Source organism: Homo sapiens, chromosome 8 (assembly GCF_000001405.40).
Source record: "Homo sapiens chromosome 8, GRCh38.p14 Primary Assembly".
Classification (NCBI taxonomy): domain Eukaryota; kingdom Metazoa; phylum Chordata; class Mammalia; order Primates; family Hominidae; genus Homo; species Homo sapiens.
This window is the reverse complement of record NC_000008.11, coordinates 38,033,744-38,053,371: the sequence shown is the minus strand read 5'-3', so window position 1 is coordinate 38,053,371 and position 19,628 is coordinate 38,033,744. Positions and strand designations below refer to the sequence as shown.

The window sequence follows — 19,628 nt, the reverse complement described above, 5'->3', positions numbered from 1 at the left end:
AGCCTGGGCGACAGAACAAGACCCTGTCTCAAAACAAAACAAAACAAAAAAACAGGCCAGGTACAGTGGCTCATGCTTGTAATCCTAGCACTTTGGGAGGCAGAGGCAGGCAGATCACCTGAGGTCAGGAGTTCAAGACCAGCCTGGTCAACACGGTGAAACCCTGTCTCTACTAAAAATACAAAAATTAGCTGGGCGTGGTGGCACACCCCTGTAATCCCAGCTACTTGGGAGGTTGAAGCAGGAGAATTGTTGAACCTGGGAGGCGGAGGTTGCAGTGAGCCAAGATCATGCCACTACACTCCAGCCTGGGCAACAGAGCAAGCAAGACTCTGTCTCAAAAAAAATTAAATCATTAATTATACTTAAAAGTGAAAGAAAAAGCCTCTGTGCCCTTTGTTCTATGGCTACCACAGTTACTTAAAAATAAGAATCCTAATTTTACCTAATAAAAGCAGAGATTTCAGTTGGGGAGGGGTCTGTGAGGAGTAAACAGCAGCATGCAGAAAGTCAGCCGAAGGCTGGGTGAGGTGGCTCGCACCTGCAATCCCAGCACTTTGGGAGGCTGAGGTGGGAGGATCACTTGAGCCCAGGAGTTTGAGACCAGCCTGGGCAACATTGCAAGACCTTATCTACAATTTTTTTTTTTTTTTTGAGATGGAGTCTCATTCTGTTGCCCAGGCTGGAGTGCAGTGGTGCGATCTCGGCTCACTGTAACCTCTGCCTCCTGGGTTCAAGCAATTCTCCTTGCCTCAGCCTCCCAAGTAGCTGGGATTACAGATGCCTGGCTAATTTTTGTAGTTTCAGTGGAGACAGGGTTTTGCCATGTTGGCCAGGCAGGTCTTGAGTTCCTGACCTCAGGTGATCCGCCTGCCTCGGCCTCCCAAAGTGCTGGGATTACAGGCATGAGCCACTGCACCTGGCCTACTAAAATTTTTAAAAAATTAACCAGGCATGGTGGCATGCGCTTGGAGTCCTAGCTACGCGGGAGGCTGAGATGGGAGGATCGCTTGAGCCTGAGAGATTGAGGCTGTGGTGAGCAGTGGTTGCACCATTGGACTCCAGTCTGGGAGACAGAGCGAGACCCTGTCTAAAAAAAAAAAAAGACAAACCTTAAAGCCTGGCTGAAGACACCTGCTGCAGAGCTACTTGGTGCTGGGGACACTTGGCCCATGTACAAGGTCAGGAAATGGAAACACGAGTGGGTGGGATGGATGCCAAGGTCCCTTCAGGGCTGCTGGTCAGGTGTGGTCTGACAGAAACCTGTGTGTGTGTTCAGCAGGTGGAGTGGCATCACGCTAGGGTGGCCTCCACATAAAACTCTTTAGCCAAAGGTGGGGGCTACGGCTGGGCGCAGTGACTCACATCTGTAAATCCCAACAGTTTGGGAGGCCAAGGTTGGAGGATCACTTGAGGCTGGGAGTTCCAGACCAGCTTGGCCAACACAGCGAGACCTCATCTTTAAAAGTAAAACAGGCTGGGCGCAGTGGCTCACGCCTGTAATCCCAGCACTTTGGGAGGCCGAGGCAGGCAGATCACCTGAGGTCAGGAGTTCGAGACCAGCCTGGCCAACATGGCGAAATCCCGCCTCTATTAAAAACACAAAAATTAGCCGGGCATGGTGGCACACACCTAATCCTAGCTACTCAGGAGGCTGAGGCAGGAGAATCACTTGAACCTGGGAGGCGGGGGTTGCAGTGAGCCGAGATCGTGCCACTGCACTCCAGCCTGGGAGACAGAGCACGACTCTGTCACAAAAAAATAAAAAAAAATATAAATAAAAGGAAAACAAAACCTCTTTAACTGAGGTCCTATGTCATCAGCAGGCCTGTCTTGGACCCCTCTGTACACTGGGGTAAATGACCCACCTCCACTAGGTCACTACAAAGAGTATGAAGTACTTTTGAGGATCAAAGTGACTTCAAGATGGCAGAGCCATGACATTTTTCTCCTACTCCTCTCAAAAGTCATGCCAAACACCAAGAATGAGAAGTACAAGCACGTTCTCCAACCTGGATGCAGGGAGAGCTCCAACTGTCACCCCAAATCACAACAGGTAAAGACAGAGGCAAGTACAGGAGCGGTCAACGATCTCATGGGGAGGAAGCGGGTGACACTGAAATGCAGGGAGGTGGGGGTGGAGCAAGTTCTCCGTTTGCCCCAGAGAACCCCAGGAAGGTTCAGGAATTAGGCACAGCATGGAATCTGGGGATGGGGGCTGATAACAGGGAGACTGCTTGGAAGTCTGTATGGAAAATGGAAACCCCAGGTTCTTACCAGCATCTAGCAGCTGCCCTGAGGTTTACTCTCTTAAGCAAACTTACCAGAGGGGTGCCAGGTGTCCCTTGCCCCAAGGAGAGGGGTGACAGAGAAATTAAAGTTGACCTCCTGAATGGTGAGCCTTAAGCCCTCTCCTCTCCCCTGCTTCAGAATAAAGAGTGAAGATAAAGACCTACAGAAACTGATTGTGGCATGGGGGTCCACAGTGAATAAAACCAGCTAGCCACCAGATGGAACCCATCAGTCTCTGGGCCACACAAGGGACTCCTGGTCAGCTCCTGAGTTCCCCACCCTTAAATAAAAACAGCCAGGCCCGGTGCAGTGGTTCACACCTGTAAGTAATCCCAACACTCTGGAAGGCTGAGGTGGGAGGATCAGTTGAGCCTAGGAAGTTGAGGCTGCAGTGAGCTATAATCATGACATTGCACCGTAGCCTGAGCGAAAGAGCGAGACCCTGTCTTTCAAAAAAGAAAGAAAGAAAGAAAAGACCGAGGCAGGCGGATTGCTTGAGCCCAGGAGTTTGAGACCAGCCTGAGCAACACGGTAAAACCCTGTCTTTACAAAAAAGACAAAAATTAGCCAAGCGTGGTGGCACACGTCTGTAGTTCCAGCTACCCAGGAGGCAGAGGTGGGAGGATCACCAGAGCCCAGGAGGTCCAAGGCTGCAGTGAGCTAAGACTGCACCACTATACTCCAGTTTGATTGACAGAGTGAAACCCTGTGTCAAAAACTAAATTTTAAAAAATTTAAAAAACCAACCAGTCAAATGTTCCCACACATTTCTGAGAAAGGCTTGTAGCATTTAAGGCGAGATCTAAGCAAATCAACAGGAGGAAACAGGTAATAAAGGAAGCAGAAAATCTTAAAGAAAAACAAAAGAGGCCGGGTGCAGTGGTTCACGTATACAACCCCAACACTTTGGGAGGCTGAGGCGGGTGGATCACATGAGATCAGGAGTTCAAGACCAGCCTGGCCAACATGGTGAAACCCCGTCTCTACTAAAAATACAAAACATTAGCTGGGTGTGGTGGTGCACACCTGTAGTCCAGCTATTCAGGAGGCTGAGGCACGAGAACCGCTTGAACCCAGGAGGCGGAGGCTGCAGTGAGCCGAGATTGTGCCACTGCACTCCGGGCCTGGGGACAGAGAAACATTCCATCTCAAAAAAAAAAAGAAAAAAGAAAAAGGACAAAGAGATGAACAATAGGCAAAAAGATAATAAATTAGGGGTCCAATATTGGATGGCAGGAAGTCCAGAAGGAGAAAAGAGAAACTAATAAAAGGGAATTTACTTTAAAAATATGAAGAAAGGCCAGGTGTGGTGGCTCACGCCTGTAATCCCAGCACTTTGGGAGGCCGAGGTGGGTAGATCACTTGAGATCAAGAGTTTAAGACCAGCCTAGACAACATGGTGAAAACCCATCTCTACTAAAAATACAAAAATTAGCCAGGCATGGTGGTGTGTGTCTATAATCCCAGCTACTCGGGAGGCTGAGGCAGGAGGATTGCTTAAACCCACAAGGTGGAGGTTGCAGTGAGTTGAGATCACGCTACTGCACTCCGGCCTGGGGGACAGAGCGAGAACCTGTCTCAAGAAAAAAAAAAAAAAAAAGAAGACGGAAATTTTCCTGAATTGAAAGAGATGTCTTGAAATTGAAGCTCCCCTTTCAGTAAGTAGTGCAATGAATTCAAAACACTCAGTTAACATCATTGTGAAATTCACAATACTGGCGATAAAGAGAAAATCCTTTATAGGATTTTCAGGTATACACAAGGACAGGGAATGAGAAGGGCGTAAAATGTCTTAAATGGCAAGACTGGAAGCCTGCAAACGGTGCCTTGACGCCTTCACAATCTGACAGAAAATTCACTTCAACCTGCATCTTATCCCCTGCCAAACACAAATCAAGTAAAAGTATAACAGAGATACTTCTCTTTTTTCTTTTCTTTTCTTTTTTTTTTTTTTGAGACGGAGTTTCGCTCTTGTTGCCCAGGATGGAGTGCAATGGCGCAATCTCGGCTCACTGCAACCTCCGCCTCCCAGATTCAAGCAATTCTCCTGCCTCAGCCTCCCGAGTAGCTGGGATTACAGGCCTGCACCACCAAGCCCGGCTAATTTTGTATTTTTAGTAGAGATGGGGTTTCTACATGTCGAGGCTGGTCTTGAATTCCTGACCTCAGGTGATCCACCCGTCTCGGCCTCCCAAAGTGCAGGGATTACAGGCATGAGCCACCGTACCCGGCCTCTCTTTTTTCTTTAAATTAAATCAAATTTTATTTTTGGAGACAGGGTCTCGCTATGTTACCCAGGCTGGTCTCAAACCCCTGGTTTCAAATGATCCTCCTGCCTCAGCCTCCCAAAGTGCTGGGATTACAGGTGTGAGCCACTGCACCTGGCCATAGAGACATTTCAGAAAGAATACAGTAAGATGTGTTCTGCCAAAATTATAGAAAGACTAGGGCTTCAGGGAACCCCACATTGACAGTTGTGTGGCAGGGCTGGAGCAGCCAAACTGTTACTCCAAATCTTGTCTTAGTTTAGGAGAGAGGGAAAAAATGGGCAGATAAATCTAGAAGTCCAACTGTGTGCAAGACCTTACTGTGAGGCATTTTAGAGAGCTTCTGGAAGGTTTGGGAAAACCTAAATGAAAACTAAGCACATTTTTAAAACAAAGCAATTATTAACTCTGCTTTTTTTAAAAAATATATATATATAAAAGTGGAAATGCTATTATTATAGATAGTACTTGGCTCAAGAATCATCATAATAAAAACAACAAATGTTTACTTTTAATTTTAGTTTAAATTTTTTTTTTTTTGAAACAGGGTCTTGCTCTGTCACTCAGGCTGGAGTGCAGTGGTGCCATCATGGCTCACTGCAACCTTGGACCTCCTGGGCTCAGGTGATCCTCCCACCTCAGCTTCCTGAGTAGCTGGGACTACAGGCAAGTGTCACCACACCCAGCTAATTTTTGTATATACTTTTTTGTAGAGACAGGGTTTTACCATGTTGCCTAGGGTGGGCTGGAACTCCTGGGCTCAAGTGATCCACTGCACCCAGCCTGTTTTTGTTTTTTGTTTTCCTTAAAGACAGAATCTTGCTATGTTGCCCAGGCTAGACTCAAACTTCTGGGCTCAAGTGATCCTCCCGCCTCAGCCTCCTGAGGAGCTGGGATTACAGGTGTGTGCCACTGCACCTGGCTGGATTTTTAAAACTTTGAAATGTAATTTTATTGGGACAATGAGGGGAGAGGAAGAGAGAAAATACAGAAATAAAAAAAACCTCATTTATCAAAAAAGTGATTCAGGCTGGGCGCAGTGGCTCATGCCTGTAATCTCAGTGCTTTGGGAGGCCAAGGTGGGTGGATCACCTGAGGTCAGGAGTTCGAGACCAGCCTGGCCAACATGGCAAAACCCTGTCTTTACTAAAAATACAAAAATTAGCTGGGCGTGGTGGCATGTGCCTGTAATCCCAGCTACTTGGGAGGCTGAGGCAGGAAAACTGCTTGAACCTGGGAGGCAGATGTTGCAGTGAGTTGAGATCGCATCACTGCATTCCACCCTGGGCAAGAGAGTGAGACTCTGTCTCAAAAAAAAAAAAAAAACAAAACCCAAAACCCTACACTACACCTTAACTCCCATGAACTGTATTCAAGTATAGAGACTACTGCAATCCAGGGACAAAAATGTTAATCCTTACCCACATATTTGCCGGTCTTTGCTCAATCCTTTTTTCCTGAAAGTAGGTGTGCTGGTCTCATTTACTTACTCACTGAACCTCTACTTTGTACTAGCACCATGCGAGGTGCTAGGGATTTAAAAAAGTCAGATGTAGTGAAAGTGCCTAGATCCAAACCTTATGTAATTTAGTCGAGAAAGACCCGTAAACAAGTGATTACAGCCAAGTGTGTGAAGTCCACAGACAGGCGTAAGAGGAGATCACCAAGGGACACAGATCCCAAGTCCTCCATCTTCCTGCTTCCAAGCAGCCTGACCCTAAACCCCCGGCCCAGAGAAACATCCATCTCACCCCAGTTCTCCAGTGCCCGAGGGGTGAGGGAGGTGAGCTAAGGCTGACCTTGATTGCCAACCCAGAGATGCAGAGCAGGGAAACCCAGAACCCTGCCTCCCAGCAGGGCAAGGGAAGAAGAGAGGAGCACCCCTACACCTCAAACCATTTGTGTAGCTGGGATCCAGCCCGTTGTGTGCTGGGGGTAGAGTTCAAGGTTCGGTCTTGAACTATCTGGGGACAATAACTGAGGCTCATTCTACCTGAAATCCTTTGGAAACCCAGCTCTGTCATTCCATTTGCTAGCTCTCATGACTCTGGGCAAGTTATGACTTAAAATCTTTGTGCCTCAGTTTCTGCTTCTCCAGATTGGCGACGACAATGATGATGATGATGATGGTAGTGCCAACTTCATAGGATTACTGTGTGGATTTGAACAGTGGCTGACACAATGTAAGCCCCATACAATTCTAGTTATTATCATGACCTGCAGGGTCCAGGTGACATAATTTCACCATTTATTCAGTTCCATCCATACCAGCAACCAATTATCAGTCAAAGCAGGGATAAATCAGAGGACAGGTAAGCAACTCAGGAGAGACACTTGGAAGGGACAGGGTGAGGGTGTCCTCCCTCCTTTTTAGGCCCACGGAAACCAAGAACCATCATAAACTTCAGCATGTTTGTTAGCCAGTATCCTTCAGGATTTTAAACTCCAAATGTGCACCAAATATAGGAATGATATTTTTTTTTCAAGGCATGCTTTGTGGTGACAGTAGTTTGCTTTCAATATATAAAGCAATGGGGGGGTTCAAGACCAGCATGGGTAACAAAGCACGATCCCATCTCTACAAAAGAAGTTAAAAATTAGCCAGGTGTAGGCCGGGTGGGGAAGCTCACGCCTGTAATCCCAGCACACTGGGAGGCCAAGGCAGGTGGATCACTTGAGGTCAGGAGTTTGAGACCAGCCTGACCAACATGGTGAAACCCTGTCTCTATTAAACATACAAAAATTAGCTGGGCGTGGTGGCAGACGCCTGTAATCCCAGCTACTTGGGAGGCTGAGGCAGGAGGATTGCTTGAACCCAGGCAGAGGTTGCAGTGAGCCAAAATCGCACCATTGCACTCCAGCTTGGGTGACAGAGCAAGACTCTGTCTCAAACAAACAAAAAAAAAATTAGTCAGGTGTTGTGGTGCATGTCTGCAGTCCCAGCTACTTAGGAGGCTGAGGCAGGAGGATGGCTTGAACCCAGAATTCAAGGTTGTAGGGAACTACAATTTTACCACTGCACGGTAGTCTGGGAGACAGAACAAGATCTGTCTCTAAAAAAAGTAAGGAAATATTTCTATTAATTAATTATCATTATTATTATTTTTTGAGATAGAGTCTCGGTCTGCTGCCCAGGCTGGAGAACAATAGTGTGATCTTGGCTTACTGCAACTTCTGCCTCCTGGGCTCAAGTGAGCCTCTTGCCTCAGCCTCCCAAGTAGCTGGGACTACAGGCATGCACCACCATGCCCAGCTAATTTTTTTTTTTTTTTTGTAGACAAGGTTTTGTCATGTTGCCTTGACTGGTCTTGAACTTGTGGGCTCAAGCAATCCCCCCACCTCGGCCTCCCAAAGTTCTGGGATTACAATAAATAAAGCCATAGAGACATTCCCTTAGGTTCTAGTTTCCTCACCTGTAAAACAACGGCATTGTACTAGGCTCATTCAAACTATTTTGAAAGCACCAGGCACGTGCCATTTATTTTTAGGATCTCCTTGTTGGCAGGTACTTAATGTACAAATAGCATAGTGCTTGGAGGCAGATGTTCTGGGCTCAAACCTGAGCTTGCCACATGTCAGTCCCTGAACTCCAAGTTGCACTTTCATTCCTCAGTTATAAGAGGGAGGGAATAACAAAATCCACACCTCAGAGGAGTATCGTGAAGATTAAATAAAATAAAGAACATCAAGATTCTTTGTGTGAGAATAAAGTGACACTCACATAATTGCTGTTAAAGAGAAAATCACTTGGGAGAACATACGCAACCAAAGAAAGATGTCACAAGCCGGGAACAGGAAGCATTTTTGGAGGCCAAGGAGCATTGGAGTGCTGCATGAATGAAGGCTTAGATTTTCGGGCGAGGTGCATACAGCAATCGTTGCCATCTGTCATCCCCTCCGGTCTGTGCTCACAGCCTGACGTGCTAGGTCTTATTCCCCCTTACAACTCCCCACGCAGGAGCTTCACCTTGCAGAAGAGGAAACTGAGGCCCAGAAAGGCTGTCCCCTCACAGCCGTCCAGAGGCCAACCTAACCCACCTCGACTCCAATCCTAAATGCCTCCTACTGTTTAAAATTAGCAAGGCTGGATCATGCCTGCAATCACAATGCTTTGGGAGGCCAAGGCATGAGAATTGCTTGAGGCCAGGAGTTTGAGACCAGCCTGGGCAACACAGTGAGACCCCCATCTCTACAAAAAATTTAAAAAGTAGCCTGGCATGATGGCGTGCGCCTATGATCCCAGCTACTCCAGAGGCTGAGGCAGGAGGATCGCTTTAGCCCAGGAGTTTGAGGCTGCAGTGAGCTGGGATCATGCTACTGTACTCTAGCCTGGGTGATAGAGTGAGACCCTGTCTCTACAAAATAAAATAAAATTAGTAAGGCAGACCAGGCTACCACCCCTTAGCTAACACTCTCAGCTGGAAAAATTAGGAGGTCTTAGACTTCTGGGTGCTTGTCAGAACAGGATGTTCCCTGCCTTGAGCGCTTCCCCATAGCCCTCCAGTGCCCATACTCTGCGGCTGGATAGGACTTCTGTAAACTGAGCCGCGCATGGCCCTCACTTTCCCCTGGGGTTCCTTTGGCAGAAGCATTCTTCCATTGGATGTGGGGACGTGAGGCTTAGTGAGAGTACGAGGATGGAATTCCTAGAACTGCTGTTCCCATTCCAGGGAGAGGGAGAGCATTTCACAACAGGGCCGGGGTGGGGGAGGTCCAAATGCTTCTGCTCAGATCCAAGCCAACAGCCAGTGAGCAAAACACCCTGGACAATCTGAACTCCAGCTCTGAGGCAGCTCCCTGTTAACCTGGAGGTAAATACGCCGACATGCCAGAATCTCGGTCTTCCCTCCCTCCTCGCCACACAGTCCAGGGAGGAATCACATGTGTCTGGGTGGCTTTTCTGGCTGGATGGTCTATTTAACAAGCAGGACAGAACTGCCGGGGTGGAAATCCTGGTGAGAGATGCAGAGCACACTCAGTCCAAGACTTTTCTTTACCTCTGCCCCGCAACCGCTGACCTCCACAAAGAGAACCAAGATCCCAACATTTCTCAGGGGCCAGGGGTCTTATGAAGCTGCTGGATACCAGATGGGGACGATCGGCAGCCTCTCCCTCTGAGGCCCTGGCATGGGAGGGAATAGGTCAGTTTCTTTGAAAATTGGCTTCAGGCCAGGTGTGATAGCTCACACCTGTTATCCCAGCACTTTGGGAGGCCGAGGCAGGTGGATCGCCTGAGGTCAGGAGTTTGAGACCAGCATGCCAACGTGTTGAAACTCTGTCTCTACTAAAAATACAAAAACTAGCCGGGTGGTCCCAGCTACTCAGGAGGCTGAGGCAGGAGAATCGCTTGAATCCAGGAGGCAGAGGTTGCAGTGAGCCAAGATCGCACCACTGCACTCCAGCCTGGGCAACAGAGCAAGACTCCATCTCAAAAAAAAAAAAAAAGAAAAAGAAAAGAAAAGAAAAGAAAATTGGCTTTGACAGAGACTTTCAGAACAAAATAGCTGAGCTAATTATTCTGATTGCTGGCCAAGCTCCTCCCCTTCCTTAACCTCCTCCCAAACACTTCAAATGCACCCTATGGGTGAAGCTGTCCCTGAAATTCATTACCAATAGGGAATGACCTTCTGAAATGCCTCCCATTACAAACAGTAGTGATTGCTGTCCCAGTTGGAAAGGGGAATGGCCCTGTTATGAGCTGAATAGTTGAATAGCATCTCTCCCAAAAACTTTTTTTCGTGTGTGTGAGATGGGGTCTCACTCTGTCACCCAGACTAGAGTTCAGTGGCATGATCTTAACTCACTGCAGCCTCCGCCTCCCTGGTTCCAGAGATTCTCCTGCCTCAGCCTCCTCCTGGTAGCTGAGATTATAGGCACCTGCCACCACGCCTGGGTAATTTTTTGTATTTTCAGTAGAGACAGAGTTTTGCCATGTTGGCCAGGCTGGTCTTGAACTCCTGACCTCAAGCGATCTGCCCGCCTTGACCTCCCAAAGTGCTGGGATTACAGGCATGAGCCACCATGCTCGGCCTGCCCCCAAAACTCTTATGTTGAAGCCCAACCCCAGTACCTCGGAATGCAACTGTATTTGGAGATAAAGTCTTCAAGGGGATGATTAAATTAAAATGAGGCTGTTAGGGTGGGGCCCTAATCCAGTCTGACTGGGGTCCTTATGAGAAGAGATTTGGATGCAGACAGAGGAAGGCCCATGTGCAGATACAGGGAGAAGGTGGCCATCTGCAAGCCAAGGAGAAGGGCCTCAGAACCCAGCCCTGCTGGCACTTTGATCTTGGACTTCCAGCCTCCAGAACTAGGAGATAATTCATTTTGTTTAAAGCACCCAATCTGTGGTATTTTGTTATGGCAGCCATAGTAAACTAAGGCAGGCCCACTCTACCCTTGTGTTCAGAAGGGCAGAAGAGAGAAATCTGTTTACACCACACACTCACACACATGCTCCTTAAGGCAAGAGACCTCCACACTGTCCACTTCCAAACCAAAGGGAGTACTGAGCCCGACTGTACCCTCTGCTATTCTCATTCCTGCCTGGTTTTGTACTGCTGGGCACAGACACATGAGTCCATCCTATTGCAAGTACTACAGAAAATTAAGGATATTCACATGGTAGTGCTGGGTAGGGCAGGGCAGGTGTGGGCTCCTCTGAAGAGTGTTCCCAAAGCCTGGCCTGCAGGACACTTGGAGGGGGAAGAGGAGATGGTTTGGGTGATGGCCTGCAATGAAGGCTCAACACAAAGAGGAATAGATTGCTTAGCGGTCCAGCATCATGGCCACCTGTGTGGTTTGCTTTTTTTTTTTCTTCTGAGACAGGGTCTCACTCTATTACACAGGCTGAAGTGCAGTGGCGTGATCATAGCTCACCGTAACCTCAAATTCCTGGGCTCCAGAGATCCTCCTGCCTCAGCTTCCCAAGTAACTAGGACTAGAGGTGCATGCTGCTACACCTGGCTAGTTTTAAAATTTTTTTGTAAAGACAGGGTCTCACTATGTTGCCCAAGCTGGTCTCCAACTCCTGGCCTCAAGCAATCCACCTGCCTTGGCTTCCCACAGTGCTGGGATTACAGGCATGAGCTACTGCACCCGACCTTGTGTGGTTTGCTTTGTGGAAGTGAACATAAGGCCGTGAGAACAGGGTATGGGATCTATGAGTCAGTACCTTTAGGAAGGTGTCCTTTGTTCTTTAACCCTGATTCACAGGGTTGTGATTCCAGTCGGCTTCTGCACCTGGTCCTGGCTCTGCTGGCCACACATCAGGACAGGCAGCACGTTCCCTCTAAGACCCATTCTTTGAGGTCTGGCCCTTGTGGAGGATTATTCGAAAATGTGGCTCCTACCACTCCTCCCATTCCTGTTTGCACATGTAGCTTCTCTCATTAAAAGGCATATATTTCCTGCCAGGTGTGGTGGATCATGCCTGTAATCCCAGTGATTTGGGAGGCCAAGGCAGGCAGATCGCCTGAGGTTAGAAGTTCGAGACCAGCCTGGCCAACATGGTGAGACCCCCGCCTCTACTAAAAATACAAAAATTAGCCGGGCGTGGTGGCAGGTGCCTGTAATCCCAGCTACTTGGGAGGCTGAGGCAAAAGAATCACTTGAACCTGGGAGGCGGAGGTTGCAGTGAGCTGAGATCGTGCCACTGCACTCTGGCCTGGGCGACAGAGCCAGATTCTGTCAAACAAACAAGCAAACAAAAAAGGCCAGGCGCGATGGCTCACGCCTGTAATCCCAGCACTTTGGGAGGCCGAGGCGGGCGGATCACTTGAGCTCAGGAGTTCAAGACCAGCATGGGCAACATGGTAAAACCCTGTCTCTACTAAAAATACAAAAATTAGCTGGGCATGGTGGTGCATGCTTGTAATCCCAGCTACTCAGGCAACAGAGAGAGACTCCATCTCAAAACAACAACAACAACAACAACAACAACAACAGGCATGTATTTCCCCTCTCCCTGAATCTGGGCTGGCCCTGTGACTTGCTTTGACCGACAGAATACTTGGTAAGTGATGTTATGGGACTTCTGAGCCTAGGCCTTAAGTGGCCTTGGAAACTACCATGTAAATAAAACTCAAGCTAGACTACTGAGTGATCAGAATGTTGGGAGACCAAGAGGATAGAGGGAACTCCCAGGCTTCCAGCTGTCCCCAGCAATGCCCCAGATGTATGGGTAAGACCATCTTGGAGCTTCCACCCCAGGACAGTCCAGCTGTACACTGTATGCAGCCATATGAGTAAGCTCAGCAAGATCTACAAAGAACCCAACGAACCCAAAAGATGGAGAACAATAACAAATCGCTGCTGTTTAGTTACTGTTTGGGGATGGCTTGTTATATAGCAATAGCTAACTGATACAACCATTTTCACCAAGTGTCCCTGCACACCTAAGAAGCCCTGATCCTCTGGGCCTAGTATCTGAGCTCTCTTAATGAGCTTTCATGGGCATAACCATCAGATTACATGGAGCCCTTTGCTGTGCATACCCAAATGTCAGTGAGCAGCAGTTACTTACTCTTGCCTTGTCAGCAATGCTGGATGCAAACAGGTAAATAAACAGCATCAGTCACAGTGTCTGAGACCCCGGCCCCAATACTGGCTTGTTCAGTGTAAGAAAAAGTTGCCAGATGCAGTGGCTCACATCTGTAATCCCAATGCTTTGGGAGGTTGAGGCAGGAGGATTGCCTGAGGCCAGGAGTTCAAGACCAGCCTGGGCAACATAGACCTCATCTCTACAAAAAATAAAAATTAGCCAGGTGTGGTAGCATGTGCCTGTGGTCCCAGCTACTCGGGAAGCTGAGGCAGGAAGATTGCTTGAGCCCAGGAGCTCAAAGTTACAGTGAGTGGTGATCGCGCCACTGTACTTCAGCCCATAGACACTCCAGCCTGGGCCACAGAGGTGAGGCCCTATCTGTTAAAAGTTTTTTGTTTTTGCTTTTTAAAAAAAAGAAAAAAAGTCACATCCACTCCCTGTTCGGTAATATTGGGACAAGAAATACCAGCAATACTGTTTAATACAAATGTTCCTTGACTTAAAATGAAGTATGTCCCAATAAATCCACCATACATAGAAAATATCTTAAGTCAAAAATGCATTTAGGGCCAGGTGCAGTGGCTCACGCCTGTAATTCCAGCACTTTGGGAGGCTGAGGCGGGCAGATCACTTGAGGTCAGGAGTTTGAGACCAGCCTGGCCAACATGGTGAAACCCCATCTCTACTAAAAATACAAATTAGCTGGGTGTGGTGGCACACGCCTATAATCCCAGCTACTCAAGAGGCTGAGGCAGGAGAATGGCTTGAACCTGGGAGGCAGAGGCTGTAGTGAGCAGAGATTGCACCACTGCACTCCAGCCTGGGCGATAGAGCAACACTCCAACTCAAAAAAAAAAAAAAAAAAAAAGTATTTAGTACACCTAACCTACTGAACATTATAGCTTAGCCTTCCCTACCTTAAATGTGCTCAGAACACTTACATTAGCCTACAGTTGGACAAAACCACCTGGCAACACAGCACACTATAGACTCTATAGTGGGCTGTCCAATCTTCTGGCTTCCCTGGGCCACACTGGAAGAAGAATTGTCTTGGACTACACATAAAATACACTAACACTGGCTGGGTGTGGTGGCTCACGCCTGTAATCCCAACACTTTGGGAGGACGAGGTGGGCGGATCACCTGAGCTTGGGAGTTCGAGACCAGCCTGACCAATATAGAGAAACACCATTTCTACTAAAAATACAAAATTAGCTGGGTGTGGTTGCGCGTGCCTGTAATCCCAGCTACTCAGGAGGCTGAGGCAGGAGAATCACTTGAACCTGGGAGGCAGAGGTTGCAGTGAGCCGAGATTGTGCCATTGCACTCCAGCTGAGCTTAAAAAAAAAAAAAAAAGAAAGAAATTTCATAATGTTTTAAGGAAGTTTACGGACTTGTATTGGGCCTCATTCAAAGCTGTCCAGAGTGCATGTGGCCTGAGGGTCTCGGGTTGGACAAGCTTGTGACTGGCCATTTGTCCTCATGTTTGTGGGGCTAAATGGGAGCTGCAGCTCACTGTCCCTGCTGAGCATCTCGAGAGCATGTACCTCGTATCGCTGGCCCAGAAACAGATCAAAATTCACAATTCAATGTACAATTTCTAGGCTGGGCGTGGTGGCGCACACCTGTAATCCCAGCTACTTGAGAGACTGAGGTGGGAGGATTGCTTGAGCCTGAGAGGCGGAGGTTGCAGTGAGCCGATATCATGCCAATGCACTCTAATGTAGGTAATAGAACAAGACTCTGCCTTTTTTTTTTTTTTTGAGATGGAGTCTTGCTCTGTCTCCCAGGCTGGAGTGCAGTGGCGTGATCTCGGCTCACTGCAACCTCTGTCTCCCGGGTTCAAGCGATTCTTCTGCCTCAGCCTCCTGAGTAGCTGGGAGTACAGGTGTGTGCCACCACACCTGGCTAATTTTTTGTACTTTTAGTAGAGACGGGGTTTCACCATGTTAGCCAGGATGGTCTCTATCTCTTGACCTCGTGATCCACCCACCTCAGCCTCCCAAAGTGCTGGGATTACAGGCATGAGCCACCGTGTCCGGCCAAGAATCTGTCTTAAAACAATTTTTAAAAGTACAATTCCTACTGAACACATATCACTTTCATACCATCGTAAAGTCAAAAATTGTAGTCACACCATCATAATCGGGGACTATCTGTATGAGGATAAGTAGGAGGGTTCAGAGAAGGTTATTCTCTGGCTGGTCCAGTGGCTCACGCCTGTAATCCCAGTGTTTTGGGAGGCTGAGGTGGTGGATCTCTTGAGCCCAGGAGTTCCAGACCAGCCTGGGCAACATGACAAAACTCTGTCACTACTAAAAATTTAAAGATTAGCCAGGCGTGGTGGTGTGTGCCTGTAGTCCCAGCTACTGGAGAGGCTGAGGCAAAAGGATCACCTGAGCTCAGGGGGTTGAGACTGCAGTGAGGCATGATCGTGCCACTGTACTCCAACCTGCAACAGAGTAAGACTTTGTCTCAAAAAACAAACAAACAAAAAACAGACAACATCATCAAAACAGAGAAAGTTAGTTTCTGCCCCTGGGACATTCTGAGATAAACACTTATACCCTGCAACTGAAAGGACAGAAAAGGAAATTTAAACGTCATCATTAAGCCAGCGGAGACTCAGGCCTGACAGTAAGAAAACTAGGTTATCCTGACCAGGCATGGTAGCTCACGCCTGTAATCCCAGCATTTTGGGAGGTCGAGGCGGGTGGATCACAAGGTCAGGAGATTGAGACCATCCTGGCCAACATGGTAAACCCCGTCTCTACTAAAAATACAAAAATTAGCTGGGTGTGGTGGTGCGTGCCTGTAATCCCAGCTACTCAGGAGGCGAGGCAGGAGAGTCACTTGAACCAGGGAGGTGGAGGTTGCAGTGAGCTGAGATCATGCCACTGCACTCCAGCCTGGGCGACAGAGCAAGACTCAGTCTCAAAAATAAATAAATAAATAAAATAAGAAAACTAGGTTATCCTGAGGGGAACGCTTTCATTCCAGCATTCTTTTCAACTCTTCACCTTCCAGACACTAGACCTGGCATTAGGTCATGTGGATACAAAGATGAGTAAGACTGCTCAGAAAAAATTTCCTGGCTAACCTAGGGAACAAACACGTAAACAAAAACGTGTGATTCATTCGCTATGAATCATAATGGAGAGAGACCCCAGGCATGGGTCTAAGTCAGACCAGAAAGAAACAGGTTTTTCATGGGTTTGTTGGCACAGGCAAGAATCTATGTGCACAACTGAACATTTTTTTTTTTTAAAACTCACCTTAGAAAGCAATGTTCCTTTTTTTCAATATTGCTGTGCCTTCCCAGGCCAAGCACAGTGGAGCATGCCTCTAATCCCAGAACTTTGGGAGGTCAAGGCGGGTGGATTACTTGAGCTCAGGAGTTTGAGGCCAGCCTGGGCAACATGGCGAAACCTCATCTCTACCAAAAAATACAAAAATTAGCCGGTTGTGGTGGTGCATGCCTGTAGTCCCAGCTACTTGGGAGGCTGAGATGGGAGGATTGCTTGAGCCCAGGAGGTTGAGGCTGCAACTGCACTCCAGCCTGGGTGACAAAGTGAGACCCTGTTTCAAATTAAAAAAAAAAGAAGAAACAATATTGCTGTGCCTTCCTAACTCATCTTCCAGAACATGAAAATAAAGGTCTATATGAGAAAATGCCTCGCTACTTTATGTCAATGGATAAATATGGTATTGCTCTGCTGACCCTTTTTCCTCAGATTTGGCAATGAAGGACTTTTTTGGTCTTTTAGGAAGCAAAAAAATCAAACTCTCTCTCTTTTTTCTTTGAGACGGAGTTTCACTCTTGTCACCCAGAATCGTTCGAGTGAGTCTCGTGCCTCAGCCTCCTGTGTAGCTGGGATTACAGGCGCCTGCCACCAGGCCCGGCTAATTTTTTTTTGTATTTTTATTAGAGATGGGGTTTCACCATGTTGGCCAAGCTGGTCTTGAACTCCTGACCTCAGGTGATCTGCTTAGCCTCCCAAAGTGCTGGGATTACAGGTGTGAGCCATCGCACCTGGCCTCTCCTTTCAAATAATAAAAAACTAGAGGGTCAGACTCAGAAGCAAAGCATGACCCTGTCTCTACAAAAATAAATAGCCGGGTTTGTGGTCCCAGCTACTCGGGAGGCCGAGGCAGGAGAATTGCTTGAACTCAGGAGGCGGATGCTGCAGTGAGCTGAGACGGTGCCACTGCACTCCAGCCTGGGTGACAGAATGAGACTCTGCCTCAAAAATAAAATAAAATAGGCCGGGCGCGGTGACTCATGGCTGTAATGTCAGCACTTTGGGAGGCTGAGGCGGGCGGATCACGAGGTCAGGAGTTCGAGACCAGCCTGGCCAACGTGGTGAAACCCCATCTCTACTAAAAATACAAAAAATTAGCCAGGCGTGGTAGCGCGCCTGTAAACCCAGCTATTCGGGAGGCTGAGGCAGGAGAATTGCTTGAACCCAGGAGGTGGAGGTTGCAGTGAGCCGAGATCGCACCATTGCACTCCAGCCTGGGCGACAGAGCAAGGCTCCATCTTGAGGAAAATAATAATAAATAAATAAATAAATAAATAATTAGCTGGGCATGGTGGTGCGTGCCTGTCATCCCAGCTACCCGGGATTCTCCTGTCTCAGCCTGAACCTGGCAGGTGGAGGCTGCAGTGAGCTGAAATCATGCCACTGCACTCTAGCCTGGGCGACAGAGTTAGACTGCCTCAAAAATAAAATAAAATAAAATAAAATAATAAGGCCGGGTGTGGTGGCTCATGCCTGTAATCCCAGCACTTTGGGAAGCTGAGGCGGGTGGATCACCTGAGGTCAGGAGTTTGAGACCAGCCTGACTAACATGGTGAAACCCTGTCTCTAATAAAAATACAAAAATTAGCCGGGTGTGGTGGCACATGCCTGTAATCCCAGCTACTTGGGAGGCTGAGGCAGGAGAATCACTTGAACCCAGGAGGCGTAGGTTGCAGTGTGCCAAGATTGCACCACTGCACTCCAGCCTGGGCAACAAGAGCGAAACTCTGTCTCAAAATAATAATAATAATAAAAAGGAGTCTGGGGATTGGAGGGATTTTGGAGTGCTCTACACCAGGAACCCCCCACCAAATCTTTAATAAGGGACACAGTGTGGAATGCTTCCAACACTTTAAAAAATTTTATTTATTTAATTTATACCGACAGAGTCTCACTATGTTGCTCAGGCTGGTCTTGAACTCCTGGCCTCAAGTAATTTTCCTGTCTCAGCCTTCCTAATAGCTGGGATTACAGGAGTGAGCCACCGCACCCAGCTCCTTCAAACACTTTAAAAGGAAGCTCAGGTAAATGTGAGAAGAGGGTCCATCGTTTCTCCCTCACTGCATTAATGTCCAAGCTCTTTTAACCCATCCTTAATAATTTCTTCCCTCCATGTGACTAAGGCCTCAGGACATGGGCTGTGCTCTGGCTTTGGTGCCCAGCCTACATCCCCTTCTTCCCAGCACTGCCTGTTTCATGTCCAAAGACTTGGGAGCTGCTCCAAGGTAAGCTTCCTGGGCACAGACCTTGTTTGCTTAACCAAACAGGGTGCCATTAACACCTGCAGCCCTACCTGCTCACCTCGGATTCACCTTATCCAGGTACGGGTCTTTGGCACAACTGCCATCCAAGCCTGTATATAGGCTTCAGAGTCAAACATGCAACACGGAGCTGGGAATGTGGAGATTGATGAGGGAAAGTTTCTTTCTGACCCACTCAAAGGTTCTGCTGGCTAATGAGCTGTTTATGGTGTCGCTGGATATTTTTAAGACTCCACAGACTCAAATATTCATACATGACACTCCCTTCGGCAATTAAATTATCTTAAGTACTCTGGACAGCTAACCTCAGAGCAGAGCCTCAGTGTGCAAATGGTTAATGACCATGGAAAGCAAACTGGAGGCCAGGTGAGGTGACTCATGCCTACAATCCCAGCAGTTTGGGAGGCTGAGGTGGGAGGACTGCTTGAGCCCAGGAGTTTGAGGCCAGCCTGGGTAATACATAGAGACCCTGCCTCTACAAAAAAATAAAAAAATTAGCAGGGCATGGTGGCACGTGCCTATAGTCCCAGCTACTTGCAAGGCTGAGGCAGGAGGATCACTTGAGCCCAGGAGTTTGAGACTGCAGTGAGCTATGTTTGTGCCACTGTACTCCAGCCTGGGTGACACCATGAGACCCTGTCTCAGGAAAAAAACAAAAAAAGGGCCGGGTGCAGTGGCTCACGCCTGTAATCCCAGTACTTTGGGAGGCCAATGCAGGCGGATCACGAGGTCAGGAGATCGAGACCATCCTGGCTAACACGGTGAAACCCTGTCTCTACTAAAAACACAAAAAATCAGCCGGGCTTGATCGCGGGCGCCTGTAGTCCCAGCTACTTGGGAGGCTGAGGCAAGAGAATGGCGTGAACCCGGGAGGCGGAGCTTGCAGTGAGCCAAGATCTCACCATTGCACTCCAGCTTGGGCGACAAAGCGAAACTCCATCTCAAAAAAAAAAAAAAAAAAAAA

The 19,628-nt window shown here is 48.0% G+C and overlaps 1 protein-coding gene across 1 annotated transcript in view, besides 1 other annotated feature; it reads right to left on the bottom strand.

The window, feature by feature from the left end:
- Positions 1-19,628, bottom strand: part of EIF4EBP1 (eukaryotic translation initiation factor 4E binding protein 1) — a 29,832-nt gene that overhangs the window by 6,994 nt on the left and 3,210 nt on the right. The window lies entirely within an intron of this gene.
- Positions 17,422-17,923: an enhancer, noted in NCBI's record as "H3K4me1 hESC enhancer chr8:37892967-37893468 (GRCh37/hg19 assembly coordinates)". NCBI's record gives its function as "activates a minimal SCP1, AML or CMV promoter by ChIP-STARR-seq in primed H9 embryonic stem cells {active_cell/tissue: H9 hESC(primed)}" and the evidence as "EXISTENCE:reporter gene assay evidence [ECO:0000049][PMID:30033119]".